The 16504-nt window shown below is 32.6% G+C and overlaps 1 protein-coding gene across 3 annotated transcripts in view; it reads right to left on the bottom strand.

The window, feature by feature from the left end:
* The window catches only part of RB1 (RB transcriptional corepressor 1), a 178140-nt gene that overhangs the window by 118750 nt on the left and 42886 nt on the right, over positions 1-16504 (bottom strand). For all 3 annotated transcript variants that reach the window (NM_001407165.1, NM_000321.3, NM_001407166.1), the window contains exons 5-8: positions 15278-15316; positions 14118-14185; positions 3014-3124; positions 184-326 (exon numbers count right to left, since the gene is read on the bottom strand). In NM_001407165.1, the coding sequence (NP_001394094.1) occupies positions 184-326; positions 3014-3124; positions 14118-14185; positions 15278-15316 (361 nt within the window). The remainder of the gene's footprint in view (positions 1-183; positions 327-3013; positions 3125-14117; positions 14186-15277; positions 15317-16504) is intronic.

Raw genomic sequence — 16504 nt, 5'->3', positions numbered from 1 at the left:
CTCTTTAAAATCAAAGTAACTAAATATAACGAATTAATTTTTTCTAAATATTTTGCTACTGCAAAAGAGTTAGCACTAATTACAAAAAAAACATGCTCATAACAAAAGAAGTAAATATTGTTAGGGAGAACTTACATCTAAATCTACTTTAACTGTTTTAAAGAAATCATGAAGTTAAATTACCTCATCTATATTACATTCATGTTCTTTACAGAGAACTTCAATAATTCTTGTATCATTTTCTAGTTGTTTTGCTATCCGTGCACTCCTGTTCTGACCTCGCCTGGGTGTTCGAGGTGAACCATTAATGGGTATAACAGCTGTTTCTGTAAAAGTGGTAAATTAGATAAGAACAATTGTACATCCATCATATAAAATAATGAAGTATTCTAACTATAACTTAGGTCAAAAATAATCTTGGTAACATTCTACTACTTTTACTTATTAGGTTTCATTAGAAGGATAACAATTTCATCCATATCTACTACAAATTATGTACTAATATTAGTTTTTGCCATCCCTCTTCTACTCTGCTCCCAAAAAGAACTGTAAACTACAGTCTCATAAACAAATACAAAGAGAAGGCATGGAAATAGCCAACTTTCAAACTAAATCTAAGCGTATTTTAGTCTGCAAGAGGAAAAAAAAGTTTTCTGTCCTAGAGTCTTAAAAATAATTAGCAAATATTTCTGAATTCAATTTCTAGACATAGCATAAAAACAATATTTTAAGTTTTAGTAAATTATGATGTCTTTAAAAGATAGGTATAAAATATATTATAGTAAATATAATAATATGATAATAAACTGTGATTTAAAAAAAAAATCTCCTGGATTATTTTCAGCATTCCCAATCCAAACTAAATACAGGTTCAGCTATTAAAAATATTACAGATGGCTGGGTGTGGTGGCTCACGCCTGTAATCCTAGCACTTTGGGAGGCCAAGGCAGGTGGATCATGAGGTCAGGAGTTCAAGACCAGCCTGGCCAACACGGTGAAACCCCGTCTCTACTAAAAATACAAAAATTAGCCAGGTGTGGTGGTGCATGCCCATAGTCCCAGCTACTCGGGAGGCTGAAGCAGGAGAATTGCTTGAACCCGGGAGGCAGAGTTTGCAGTGAGCTGAGATCGCGCCACTGAACTCCAGGCCTGGGCGACAGAGTGAGTGAGACTCTGCCTCAAAAAAAAAAAAAAAAAATTACAGATGATTAAGTATAAAAAGTATGTATTGCCTCTAGATCCAATCAACAACTTACAAGAAATTGAGAGGACAGAAGAACATGTTAAACTATACCACAGAATATGATCAGCAAAAACCACACTGTGGAAAACTCAAGACAATCTGATTATTTAAAAAATAAATTACAAGGAAAAAAAGAAAGGATGGAAGAGAAACTTTTAAAAGAGTTTTTAAAACATGTCAACCAAACACAAAGTATAAATCTTATTTAGATTCTCATTCAAACTGTAAAAAAATTTTTTAATTATTTTTACAAGAAAATCTGAGCACTTTCTAGATATTCAGTAATATTAAGGAGTCACTATTTATTGATTTGTAGGTGTGATAACAAAGAGCACTGTAATTATGCTTTTTAAAAAGTATTTTTTAGAGATATATACTGAGATGTATAAGGATGAAATGGTATGCAAAGATGTGCTTCAAAATAATACAGCTGGGGGAACTGAGCAGGCAATGGGGCTACAGATTAACTGTAAATTATCTGTTGAAGTTACATGATAAGTACATGGAGGCTTATTATACTACTATTTTTGTATTCATTTGAAATTCTCTACAACAAAAATTAACTAAGAGTTACCATATTCAGTCAGTTCAATAATACCCCATGCTGATTGCTCTTTAACAGAGCACTTAGAGAATTCACATGTACATTTGAATTATCCAAAAGAACAAAGATTGTCAACCTAAAGTAACTTGCAACATCAACTTATTAAAGTTATAACATTGAAAAAAGTGGGGAAAGGGTATATAAAGGAAATTTATAAAATTTGGGAGAAAATTTGAAGTATATTTGTTTTCTATATAGAATTTTTTTTATTTCTTTCTTTGCATGTGGTTTCTGCTAAATGAAGGTTTCTGCCTTCTCTGCCAAACCATGTTCAACACATCTTCAAAATTCTGCTCCATACTTAATTTTTCCACTAAATTCTTGTTCACAAAGTTTAATGAGCCTTCATCCTTCCATCCATTTCAACAACACTTTGAAACTTCCATGTTATCTATTATTTTTAGCATTAATACTTTCATCATTTCAGAAGCAAGGAATTAGTCTGACCTTAAGTAAGTTTACATTTTTCTGTATATAATAATATAATAAGTGACTTTGAAATCCTACTCTTGAAGCCATGAAAGGAAGCAATTCTAGGCTAAAAGGAATATACCTTACTCATACTTCCTTAATGCTATCTAATTATATTAGCAAGTTATTTTTATTTAAATATACTTCCCATCTCATCACTCATCACCCACTGAAATAGTATGAGTTATAGCTTATATACAAAAAAATACATAGTTATTACAACATCCAATAGTAATAAAAACTTAGTTAAGCTGTTCCCTTAGAATAGGCCACTCTTCCCCATGCAATTTCATTCATATCTTTTTCTTGTTTCTTGCTTTTCTTCACTGGGAATGCCCTCCCCCAACACTTTACTGAGAATGCCTTTCCCCAATCCTAACCACTCTTCCATGTTAATTTCAAATACTACTTCTTTTATATGGTATTCTTTGGTCTTCCACAGCTGGAAAAACTTTCTTGTCTCCCAAACCTCCATTTGTTGTATTTTGACCCAAACCACTTTCTACCATATACTCTAATCATTTGTTTCCATGTCTTATCTTTCCTTCTATAACTTACACTACTTATGGGCAAAGTCCATGTCTGATTTATTTTTTATCATCCTGTCAGCCTTAGAACCATGTTTGGTACCCACTAGACATTCAATAAGCAACTGCTGAATGAGAAAGTAAAAGGGGCATAAATTAAATACTTACTATATGGTTCTTTGAGCAACATGGGAGGTGAGAGTTTAATAAAATAGTCAAGGACACATAGCATTAACTGAAATGAAATCACCAGATCATCTTCCATTTGTAATACTTCCCCTGAAAAAAAAATGTACATTTTTAAAGAAAGTTAGAGATTCAGATCTTTGTATGAGAGAAAATCGCAGGGTAGAGTATATCCATAAATTTATTCATTCAACAATCACTATCAGCATGGTAAAGATTTTCTTTCTTTTTTTTGTAAAAAAAAAAAAAATCTGTTTTAAAAGGTATAAAATATGTAAAATAGAAATATGTAAAGTTATGGAATTATAAATCAAGTGTTAAGTCTACTCTGAGAATTTTACATTTAAGTATTTCTGTTATAATTAATTCTTTATGTCTAAAATCACTATAAATTTTGCTTTTTAAATTTATTTCTAATTTTAAGAACTATAGAATGTATTACTCCAGAGAAAGATTTTGAAGTATGATAAATGCTAATCTTTAATTCTAATTTTATAAATATTTTATTTATATTTGTATAATATTTTATTATAATAATTAGAATTCAAATTTTTAATTCCACTTTTATAAGTATATTTATTATATAAAATTACTAAGTTTATTAGAATTTATTCTAATTCCAATGATTCAATTAATTCTCATTATCTAAAAATTTAAAATAATTATTTTATTTATAAAATTATGATTTTATTCCAATTATTTATATCTAAACCTTATATATTTTTAATTTCAACCCCTCTAAAATCTTACAATAACCAAAACCATTAAGAGATAACAAAATTAGTATATAAATTTAAAGTCATCTATAAAATAATTGTTCACCATAAAATCTTTAAAGTTATTAGAATATATATACAACTAGATGGCTGTGAGAAAATAAATGCATATAACAGATACCTAAGAAAACAAATAGTGTAGCTACATAAAATATACAAATCATGATAAAACACAGCTATTACAAATTTGCTTATGGCTCCATGTCATACATTATTTTTAAAAGAGAAGTTCAATTTGATTCACTTTCTATTTTCTGAGTATCTGACTGCTAAACCAGTAATAATCTCAGCAAACACTGGATGTGCAGAAACTTTGTGAGAAAACAGATAACGTTGCATCTTTATAGGTTTTCTAGATACAATGGTATGGTGCAAAAAATATGTCTGCAATATATTCACAAATAAGTTATTTTAAAATACCATAGTGGTAAAGAACGATATCAAGGATTTCTAGGTAAAAACGGTGAAGTCAGATGAAAGAATCTCTCTCAAGTACATTCTTTTGCTTTCATTTTATTAGGTATTAAAGTGCTGGTACCAATATCAAATGAGAGACTGACTGAGCGAGACTAACTCAAACGGTATCCTCATCTTTTGCCTCTCTGACTTGGAGGGAGAAACTGCTGATAAGAGAAGAGTAAAATGGAGGAAGTAAACAACTATAGCTTATTTTTCTGACAACACAGAGACTCTGCATACTGTGTTGAACTGGGGACAATTTGAATCCCAAAACAATCCTGCTATAGAAAAAAGATAAAACTGCCACTAGAAGTGTTCTGTTATAAAGTTCATTCTAACAAAAACTCAGAACAACGGCTTGTATCATTACAGTTGAATTATCTACTTTCTCCCTTACCTCCTGACTAAAAGCAGATATAATAAAAATGCCTGCTCCCATACCATAGCTCTTTGGGGAACATAAACAAGTCACAGATTAAGTGCAGAGTGAAGGGATATTCACTCACATTAAATCAGAGAAAACAGAACATCAAATCAGGGTTACACATATACAGTCCCAGCAATACGAGGGGGAAAAGCACAGTGATTATGTAAACATAGAAAATCAAAAAAGAATCACAACATAAGAAGGGGAAAAAAATCAGACAGAGAACCCAATCTGAAAGATAATCTAAAAGAAGAAAATGCCCTATGAGTGCTTGCACTAAGAACTTAACCAGCTGAGGCTGATTTGAGTGATAACTCCAGTTCTCCCACATGGGTCAGCCTAGTGGTCAATTAAACTATCTCTACTGCAATGCCACAATCTTGGTGGATTGATTTTGTCTGTGCAGCCAGCAGGAAGAACCCATTGGGGGATTACACTTTCCCTTTACATTCCTTATCGCAAATGTAGTTAAGTATTTCTGTGATTGTTCATTTAATGTCTATCTCCCTTACTTGACTGTAAGTTCTAGCTGAGCAGGGAACATATACATCTTCCACCACTTTAACCTAGCACGTAATATCATGCTTGAGACATTGTAAATTCTAATAAATAACTAACTGTTGAATCAATAAATAAATGGTAATATTGAAGCTTCTCCTGATCATCATCTTACCCTCTCTGATGCACAACCATGACCTTTAGTCACCTGTAATGTACTATATGAAATGTAAACGTGCCTCTGAGATAAGAGGGTAGCATCACCATCACCACCTCATAGCTTTTACTTGGCAGCCATCACATCACTAAGTGTACCCCTCCCTGTAGAGACCTGATGCTAATCTAGAGTCCTTCTTAACACAATGGGCCGGGAAGCCACTAGCAATTGATCTGGGTTAGCAGGAGGGTTAAAATCCATTTGCTATTCTCAATATATTTGTTTAGTGATCCAAATACATATTATTGAATAATTCGTCTATTATAAATCCAATTCAATAAAAATGTATCATAAAAAGGAAATTAATGAACAAATTATATAAAAGGAAGGAACTAGACAAGCTAAGAAAAAAGATGAGGACCAAATAACACCATTACAAAAATAGTTTAGCTCAAAATGGAAAAAATGCTTGAGATAAAAACAGCCAATATGTAAGAAAAAGATTTAAAAATTCAGAATAATATGAGAGAAGACAATAAATAGGGAGAATAAAAGCAATCCAACATAAGAAAATGTTCCCAAAATACAATGGTATAGAACAACCTAGCTGAATAGAATATTTTTAAATAGAGTATGTTAAGATTTTCTAAAATGAACAGCAGAACCTTCAGTTTAAAAAGGGATACGGTGTTCAAAAAAAAAAAGCTAATACAGAATAACAAAATCAAGAAATGTTATCCTGTTTAAGGTATTAAACCTCAAATTAAAAAAAAAATTCTTCAGGAAGTAAATGAGGAGCGGAATTACGCTAGTCTCAGCTTTCTCAACAGCAATGTTCAATGCCAGAAAATATTGTCCTGAGGGAAACAAAATATGACTCAAGAATAGAATACATGACAAAGCTGTCCTTCAAGTATAAAAGCTATAGACATGATTCCTAAACATGTCAAACATAAAGAACATGGAACCAAAAAGCATATTTTTAAAAACTTGTTGATTGTAAAATACAGCCAGCTAAGAGATGAATAAAAATAAAGAACTGAGAAATGGAGAAACTATGATATAGGAGTTATGATAACCTTAGAATCCATTTAAATACAGAACTGAGACTAACCAAATGCAATAATTATAGTGACAAAATAGAATTTAAATGTTATAATACTTGATAATGTCATAACAATAAAATGGACTAATCTGAAAATGGAGAGGGGGAGGCACCAGGAAGAGTGAAGATAGTAACCTTCTTCAAACCAGATTAAAGTATATTGCTTTAAATAAAAACACAAACTTAAATAAAGATTGTAACCTCTTAATTTTTTCACATTTTTTCATAATCTTAGAGAAATAATTTTAGAAATAATATCACTTAAAGTGACAAAATACTTATCTAAATTTAAGCAATTCCTTCCATTTCTCTCTTCTATAAAATTTCAGTGAAATTAATTTTTATATTTTAAAGGTAGCACTGTAATATGAACCTAGTTTTAGAAAATTATATTCGTGAATGCACTCAACTACCCATCTTTTTAATCAAAATGTATATATGAAGATATCTGGAATGACAATTACATAATTTTTTAAATTTTAATTTTTGTGGGTACATAGTACATATATTTACGGGGTATGTGAGATGTTTTGATACAGGCATGCACTGTGAAATAAGCACATTATGCAGAATGGGGTATCCATCTCCTCAAGCATTTATCCTTTGAGTTACAAACAATCCAATTACACTCTTTAAGTTATTTTAAAATGTACAATTAAGGTATTATTGACTAAAGTCACCCTGTTGTGCTATAAAGTCTTATTCATTTTTTCTATGTTTGTGGACCCATTAACCATCCTCACCTCTCCCAAACCTCCACCACCCTTCCCAGCCTCTGGTAACCATCCTTCTACTCTCTAGGTCCATGAGTTCAGATTTGATTTTTAGATCTCACAAATAAATGAGAGTATGTGATGTTTGTCTTTCTGTACCTGGCTTATTTCATTTAACATAATGATCTCCAGGTCCATCTATGTTGTCGCAAATGACTAGACCTTGTTCTTTTTTATGGCTGAATAGTACTCCATTGTGTATATGTACCATATTTTCTTTATCCATTCATCTGTTGATGGACACTTAGGTTGCTTTCAAATCTTAGCTATTGTAAACAGTGCTGCAACAAACATAGGAGTGCAGATACCTCTTTGATATACTGACTTCCTTTCGTTGGGTATATACCTGGCAGTGGGATTGTTGGATAATATGGTAGCTCAATTTTTAATTTTTTTGAGAAACCTCCAAACTGTTCTCCATAGTAGTTGTACTAATTTACATTCCCACCAACAGTGTACGGGGGTTCTCTTTTCTCCACATCCTAGCCAGCATTTGTTATTGCCTGTCTTTTGAATATCAGCCATTTTAACTGCAGTGAGATAAATACCTCATTGTAGTTTTGATTTGCATTTCTCTGATGATCACTGATGTTGAGCACCTTTTCATATGCCTGTTTGTCATTTGTATGTCTTCTTTTGAGAAATGTGTATTCAACTCTTTTGCCAATTTTTTGGTCAGATTATTAGATTTTTTCCCATAGAGTTGTTTGGGTTCCTTATATATTCTGGTTATTAATTGCTTGTCAGAGGGGTAGTTTGCAAATATTTTTTCCATTCTGTGGGTTGTCTCTTCACTTCATTCATTGTATCCTTTGCTGTGTAGAAGCTTTTTAACTTGATATGATCTCGTTTATCCATTTTTGCTTTGGTTGACTGTGTTTGTGAGGTATTGCTCAAGAAATTTTTGCCCAGACTGATGTCCTGGAGATTTTCCCCAATGTTTTCTTATAGCAGTTTCATAGTTTAAGGTCTTAGATTTAAGTCCTTAATCATTTTGATTTGATTTTTGTATATGGTGACAGATAGGGGTCTAGTTTCATTCTTCTGCATATGGATATCCAGTTTTCCCAGCACCATTTATTGAAGAGACTGTCTTTTCCCCAGCATATGTTCTTGGCCACTGTCAAAAATGAGTTCACTGTAGGCATGTGGATTTGTTTCTGGGCTCTCTGTTCTGTTCCACTGGTCTATGTATCTGCTTTTATGCCAGTACCATGCTGTTTTGGTTACTATAGCTCTGTAGTATAATTTGAAGTCAAGCAACGTCGTCTTTCTGCTTAGGATAGTTTTCGCTATTCTGGGTCTTTTGTAGTTCCATATAAATTTGAGGACTGTTTTTTCTATTTCTGTGAAGAATGTCATTGGTATTTTGATAGGAATTGCATTGAATCTATAGATTGCTTTGGGTAGTATGGACATTTTAACAATATTAATTCTTCCAATCCATGAACAACATAAAATTTTTTTCCATTTTTTTGGTGTGCTCTTCAATTTCTTTCATCAGTATTCTATGGTTTTCATCATAGAGATCTTTCACTTCTGTGGTTAATTCCTAGGCATTTTATTTTATGTGTGGCTATTGTAAACAGGACTACTTTTTAAATTTCTTTTTCACATTATTCACTGTTGGCATACAGAAACATTACTGATTTTTGTATGTTGATTTTCTATCCTTCAACTTTACTGAACATGTTTATTAGTTCTAATAGTTTTCTTGTGGAGTCTTTAGGTTCTTCCAAATATAAGATTGTATCAGCTGCAAACAAGGATAACTTGACTTCTTTCTTTCCAATCTGGATTCCCTTTATATCTTTTGTCTGACTACTCTATCTAGGACTTCCAGTACTATGCTGAATAACAGTGATGACAATGGACATCCTCATCATGTTCTAGATCTTAGAGGAAAGGCTTTCAATTTTTCCCCATTAAGTATTATACTAGCTGTGGGTCTGTTATATATGGCTTTTATTACGTTAAGGTATGTTCCTTCTATCCTCAGGTTTTTTAGGGTTTTGGGCATGAAGGATGCTGAATTTTATCAAATGCTTTTTCAGCATCAATTTAAATGATCATATGATTTTTGTCCTTCATTCTGTTGATATGACATACCACATTGATTTGTTTATGTTGAACCATCCTTGCATTGCAGGGATAAATCCCACTGCGACATAATGAATGATCTATCTAATGTATTATTGAATTCAGTTTGCTAGTGTTTTGTTGAAGATTTCTGTATCAATATTCCTCAGAAATACTGGCCTATAGTTTTCTTTTTTTAATGGGTCTTTATCTGGTTTTGGTATCAGGGTAATACAGGCCTTGTAGAATGAGTTTAGAAGTATTTCTTCCTAGTCTATTTTCCAGAATACTGTAAGTAGGATTGGTATTAGTTCTTCTTTAAATGTTTGGTACAATTCAGCAGTGAAGCCATCAGGTCCCAGGCTTTTCTTTACTAGGAGACTTTATTATGGCTTCAATCTCATTACTTGTTATTGGTCTGTTCAGGTTTTGGATTTCTTCCTGGTTCAATCTTGGTAAGTTGTACATGTCTAGGAATTTGCCCATTTCTTCTATATTTTCCAGTTTATTGGCATATAGTTGCTTATAGAAGCCACTAATGATACTTTTAGTTTCTGCAGTATCAGCTGTAATGTCTCCTTTTTCATTTCTGATCTTATTTGTATCTTCTCTCTTTTTTCCTTAGTTAATCTAGCTAAAGGCTTGTCAATTTTGTTTAACTTTTTAAAAAAACACTTTGTTTCATTGATCTTTTGCAATTTTTTCATTGCAATTTCATTTATTTCTGCTCGATCTTTCTTTTCTTCTACTAATTTTGGGTTTGATTTGCTCTTATTTTTGTACTTCTTTAAGATACAATGTTAGATTGTTTATTTGAGTTTTTCCTCTTTTTTTCACCTATAACTAACCCACAGCCAACATCATACTGAATGTGCAGAAGCTTGAAGCATTCCCTTTGAAAACTGGCACAAGACAAGGATGCCCTTTTTCACCACTCCTATTCAACAAAGTATTGGAAGTCCTAATCAGAGGAATCAGGTGAGAGAAAGAAATGAAGGGCATCCAAATAGGAAGAGAGGGAGTCAAACTATCTCTGTGGCAGATGACATGATGCTATATCTAGAAAACCCTGTAGTCTTAGAGCCAAAAAGCTCCTTCAGCTGATCAACAACTTCAGCAAAGTTTCAGGATACAAAATCAATGTATAAAAATCACTAGTAGTTCTACACACCAACAAGAGCCAAGCTGAGAGCCAAATCAGAAAGGCAATCCCATTAAAAATTGCCACAAAAAGAATACATAGGAATACAACTAACCAGGGAGGTGAAAGCTCTCTACAACAAGAATTTCAAAACACTGCTCAAAGCAATCAGAGATGACACAAACACATGGAAAAACATCCCATGCTCATGGATAGGAAGAATAAATATCATTAAAATGGCCATACTGCCCCAAAAAAATTACAGATTCAAGGCTATTCCTATCAAACTACCAATGACATTCTTCACAGAAATAAAAAAAAAAAAACTATTTTAAAATTCAACTGGAACCAAAAAAGAGCCTGAATAGCCAAGGCAATCCTAAGCAAAAAGAACAAAGCTGGAGGCATCACATTATCCAACTTCAGACTATACTACAGGGCTACAGTAACCAAAACAGCATGTTACTGGTACAAAAACAGGCACATTTTTTTCAGAATAATGTAAACCAATGGAACAGAATAGAGCACCCAGAAATAAGGTTGCACACCTAGGACCAGCTGATCTTTTTGACAAAGCTGACAAAAGCAAGCAATGGGGAAAAGACTCCCATTTCATTAACTGGTGCTAGGATAAGTGGCTAGCCATATGCAGAAGATTGAAGCTGGACCCATTCCTTACACCATATACAAAAATCAACTCAAGATGGATTGAAGATGGCCAGGCCAGGTGTGGTGGCTCATTCCTGTAATCCCAGCACTTTGGGAGGCTGAGGTGCATGGATCACCTGAGGTAGGGAGTTCAAGACCAGCCTGGCCAACATAGTAAAACCCCATCTCTAGTAAAAATACAAAAATTAGCCGGGCATGGTGGTGCACACCTGTAGTCCCAGTTACTCAGGAGGCTGAGGCAAGATAATCACTTAAACCCGGGAGGCAGAGGTTGCAGTGAGCCGAGATTGTGCCACTGCACTCCAGCCTGGGTGACAGAGTGAGACTCTGTCTCAAAAAAAAAAAATAGATCCTAGACATAGGAACAGGCAAAGTCTTCATGATAAAGACACCAAAAGCAATCACAACAAAATCAAAAATTGACAAGTGGGATTGAATTAAACTCAAGAGCTTCTGCACAGCAAAAGAAACAATCAACAGAGTAAATGAACAACCTACAGAATGGGGAAAAATTTTGCAAACTATGCATCTGACAAAGGTTTAATATCCAGCATTTATAAGGAATTTAGACAAATTTGCAAGAGAAAAAAAACCAACCCCACTAAAAAGTGGGCAAGGCACATGAACAGACACTTTTCAAAAGAAGACATACATGCAGCCAATAAGCATATGAAAAAAAAGCTCCATATCACTGATCATTAGAGAAATGCAAATCAAAACCACAATGAGATATCATCTCACACCAGTCAGAATAGCTGTTACTATAAAGTCAAAAAATAACAGATACTGGTGAGGTTGCAAAAGAAAAGAGAACACTTATACACTCTTGGTTGGGAGTGTAAATTAGTTCAAACATTGTAGAAAGCAGTCTGACAATTCCGCAAAGAGCTAAAAGCAGAACTACCCTTGGACCCAGCAATCCCATTACTGAGTACATACTCAAAGGAATAGAAATCATTCTACCATAAAGACAAAAGCACGTGAATGTTCACTGCAGCACTATCCACAAAAGCAAAGACATGGCATCAACCTAAATGCTCATCAATGACAGAATGGATAAAGAAAATGTGGTACATATATACCATGGAATTCTATGCAGCCCATAAAAAAGAATGAGATCATGTCCTTCACAGGAACATGGATGGAGCTGGAGGCTATTATCCTTAGCAAACTAATGCAGGAATAAAAAACTAAATACTGCATGGCCTCACTTATAAGTGGGAGCTAAATGATGAAAACTGAAGAACACAAAGATGGAAACAACAGGCACTGGGGTCTACTTGAAGGTGGAAAGTGGGAAGAGGGAGAGGAACAGAAAAAATAGCTATTGGATACTGGGCTTAATTCCTGGGTGATGAAGTAAGCTGTACAACAAACCCCTGTGACACAAGTTTACCTATGTAACAAACCATCACATGTACCCCTGAACCTAAAAGTTTTTTTAAAAAAAGATGTTTTCCTCTTTTGGGATGTAGGCACTTACAGCTATAAACTTCCCTCTGTACTGCTTTTACTGTATCCCATAGGTTTTGGTTTGTTATGTTTCCATTATTTGTTTCAAAAATTTTTTTAATTTCCCTCTTAATTTCTTCATTGACCCATGGCCATTCAGGAGCATATTGTTTAATTTCCATGTATCTGTACAGTTTCCAAAATACCTTGTTATTAATTTCTAGTTTTATTCTATTGTGATCAGAGAATATGCTTGATATTATTTCATGCTTTTTTAATGTTTTAAGCCTAACACATGGTCTATCCTTGAGAATGATCAATATGCAGACAAGAAGAATGTATATTCTTGGATGAAATGTTCTGTAAATATCTATTAGATTCATATGGTCTATATAGTGCAGATTAAGTCTGATGTTTCTTTGTTGATTTTCTGTCTGGAAGATCTGTCCAATGCTGAAAGTGGGGTGTTGAAGTCTCCAGCTATTTCTATTGTATTGGGGCCTATGTCTCTCTTTAGCTCTAATAATATTTGCTTTATATATCTGGGTGCTCCAGTATTAGTTGCATAAATATTTAACACTGTTATATCCTCTTGCTGAATTGACCCCTTTATCATTATATAATGACCTTCTTTGTCCTTACAGTTTTGTTCTTGAAATCTATTTTGTCTGATATAAGTATAGTGACCCCTGCTCTTATTTTGGTTTCTGTGGGCATGGAATATATTTTTCCATCCCTTTATTTTCAGTCGGTATGTGTCTTTATAGGCAAAGTGTGTTTCTTGTAGGAAACAGATCAAATGAGTCTTGTTTTTCCATCATTCAACCAGTCTGTGTCTTTTAATTAGAGACTTTAGTCCATTTATGTTCAACGTTATTATTGGTAAGTAAGGACTTACTCATGTCATTTTGTTATTTGTTTTCTGGTTGTTTTGTGGTCTTCTCTTCCTTCTTTCTTTCCTTTCTGTCTTCCTTTAGTGAAAGTAGTTTTCTCTGATGATATGCTTTAGTTTCTTGCTTTTTATTTTTCATGTCTACATTGTATGTTTTTTGGTTTGAGGTTACTATGAGGCTTGCAAATACTATCTTATAACCCATTATTTCAACTGATAACAAGTTAACACTGTTTGCATAAACAAACAAAAATAATAAAAATTCTATACCTTAACTGCATCCCAATTATGTAATTTTAATGCCGATTATCCCTGGGTGGATTTTAGATAATTTTTCTTTGTGCTTTTGTGACCAAAATTATTTTATTTGAATTATTTATCATGAGCAAATATCATTTTTATGAAAACAGTAACATCATTATTCTTCAAAAAAAAGAAAGGGAGGGAAGATGGAATATTAGAAACAAAAATTAAATAAAGCATTTCCAAGGTTGTTTCTAGTACCAGAATTATAGGAACTTGCTAACAGTTAATAAGCCAAGCAGAGAATGAGGGAGGAGTACATTACTCAATAAAAATTGGGGAATTTAGTCCAAAGGAATGCCAATTTAATTATTACATTTGAAATATTAGCATTTAATAAATATAATGAACTTACCTTTAGCTAATAAAAATGTGATCCAAGAAACTTTTAGCACCAATGCAGAATTTATTTCAGTAGATATCCTATTAAACAAATAGAAAGCAGAAAAAAAACAGGAAAAATGTATCACTGAAAGAAAGTTTTCCAGATATATCTTTTGGGTGTTTCTTTTTGTGCATTAAAAAAAAAATGACCTTAGTTAAATGCATAATAGAATGCAGTCCATTTTAATTGCATAATTTACACCTGAGTTTATCTCTATTCATTTAATGTTTCTATGTCTTATAATTCTAAGATATGATATTTAGCCCACAGAATAGTATACATTCTTGACCATGAGAAGCTGCAAAAAAAAAAATTAAGAAAAAAAAGTATACATTTTGAAAGAAAAATTTTGTAAAAGAAATACTGAATATTTCAATTCTAATATAAAAATATATAAAAAACATAGTATGTTATAACATACTTTGTTTCAAATTACCTTAATATTTTTTGCTCTTTTTTCTGATTAATTATCAACACTGTGAGCAGAAAAATGAAGGTTTGGATGACTTTAGTTTGCCAATTTAACACTTTGCCTTGATAATCTTTCCAGAGACATTCACTTGTTGGAATTAATAGATTGATATCAATTAATCAGTAAATATACAATTTCCCTTTATATTAATTATCTTCAATACTACTCCAATGAGGCAGAAAATCTCATGTACTACTCATTCTGTTTCCAAGAAAAAACTCTGGAGCTCTACATGGGCATACTGTTAGAGCATGCATTATACATTTAAAATAATCATTTGGAAATTTTAATACAGATTTTTACATTTATTCTCACACAGAAATTATGCTGATTATTAGTTAATAAAGTGCCTGTAACAGACCCTCAATAAAGATTTAGTCAATGAATTTGCATTTGTTGCATTTTTCTCAGAGTTGGTGATATGCTGTCCTGAATCAATTCCACCTTATTAGTTCTTCTTTGTAGTACAAGGCATGTATTTTATACTATTTTCTTTGTGAGAAGATAAATAATCTACACAGGACTTAAATCTATGGGCTTAATTTATGAAGTAGCCTGCTATAATCGATCAAACTAACCCTAACTATCAAGATGTTTGAGATTATTCCATAAAAATCTTTTTTTTTAAGTGAAAAATAACATTCTGTGAACTACTTACGAACTGCTGGGTTGTGTCAAATATATAAGTTCACATGTCCTGAAAAGAAAAACATTATGACTTTTTAACATTTTTTCGTAATTTAGAAGTCATAGTAGTTTTCTCATGCTTTATTTATCTTCTTTTAAGAAGTATATATTTTAAAAACAAAAAATATATAGCATTATAAAACAAAGTTCAAGTAGATTTTCCCAATTTATGACATCTCACATCACTTTAATATATAATTACAGTTAATCCTCTCAATTAGTCTTCAAAAAAAAGGTATAAATAAGATAGAAAACACCCAGCTGATCCACCTAAGGTTAGTAAAGTTTACTCTTTAAATTATCTCATATGATTTGTCAATAAAAATTTTAAATCCCTTTTACAAAGTCCTGAGTGGTCTTTTGAGGCCAAATCCAACTGTTACTCCCTAGTTTAAAATCATTCAAGGAGTTTCCACTGCCTGCAGGGCAAAGCCCAAGATTACTACCAATCTGATCCCTTCTTACCTTTCAGCCATTAGCAATATCAAAGTACATCCTGATATCACTGCTTTGGCTTTGTACACATGCTAATCTCTAAGATGCTCGCTCCCAGTTCCCACTCATTTTGCTTGGTGAATTTCTATTTTTCCTGTAAACCCTATTCGGACATTGCCTTCTATGGTTTTTTCTCTGACCAAAATCACCACTATAGTTACCCTTCACCCTTAAACATATACAATGTAATGCTTTGTCCACTATGTAATTCCTGCTTCTTACAACAGAAACAAATATCCAAGCAGATTCCTTATCTCAGACAGCAGAGCAAACAACTTGGAAGCATCCAGTCGAAATTACTATAGCAGGAAAAAAAATCAGAACTGTACCCCAAATCACTCCTACCAATGAGTCCCCAAATTCTATATCTAGAAAAAAAAAAACCCTGATGATTATAGATCTTAAAGTACTTATATGTATAGAATACTCATTAAAGTTGGCTTAAAGAAGTTTTTGCTTGCTTTGTTTACTAGAAAGGTAATACATCCTCCTTACAAATGTAAGTTACTCATATAAAACTTGGGTTAACATTGTGGTAAACTTCTCTCCAGTCATTTCATTCTATGCGTTAGTGGTCTAGGTTTCTTCCTTACACACAGTCATAATCAGAGTATATCCTGCTTCATTTGTTTAACATTAGAAGCACTTGCCAATATTGCCATTATTCTTTATCACATTTTATTTTATATTTATAACATTTTAT

The sequence above is a fragment of the Homo sapiens genome, chromosome 13 (assembly GCF_000001405.40).
Source record: "Homo sapiens chromosome 13, GRCh38.p14 Primary Assembly".
Classification (NCBI taxonomy): domain Eukaryota; kingdom Metazoa; phylum Chordata; class Mammalia; order Primates; family Hominidae; genus Homo; species Homo sapiens.
The sequence above is the reverse complement of the archived record's forward strand: the minus strand, read 5'-3'. Positions and strand labels throughout refer to the sequence as shown.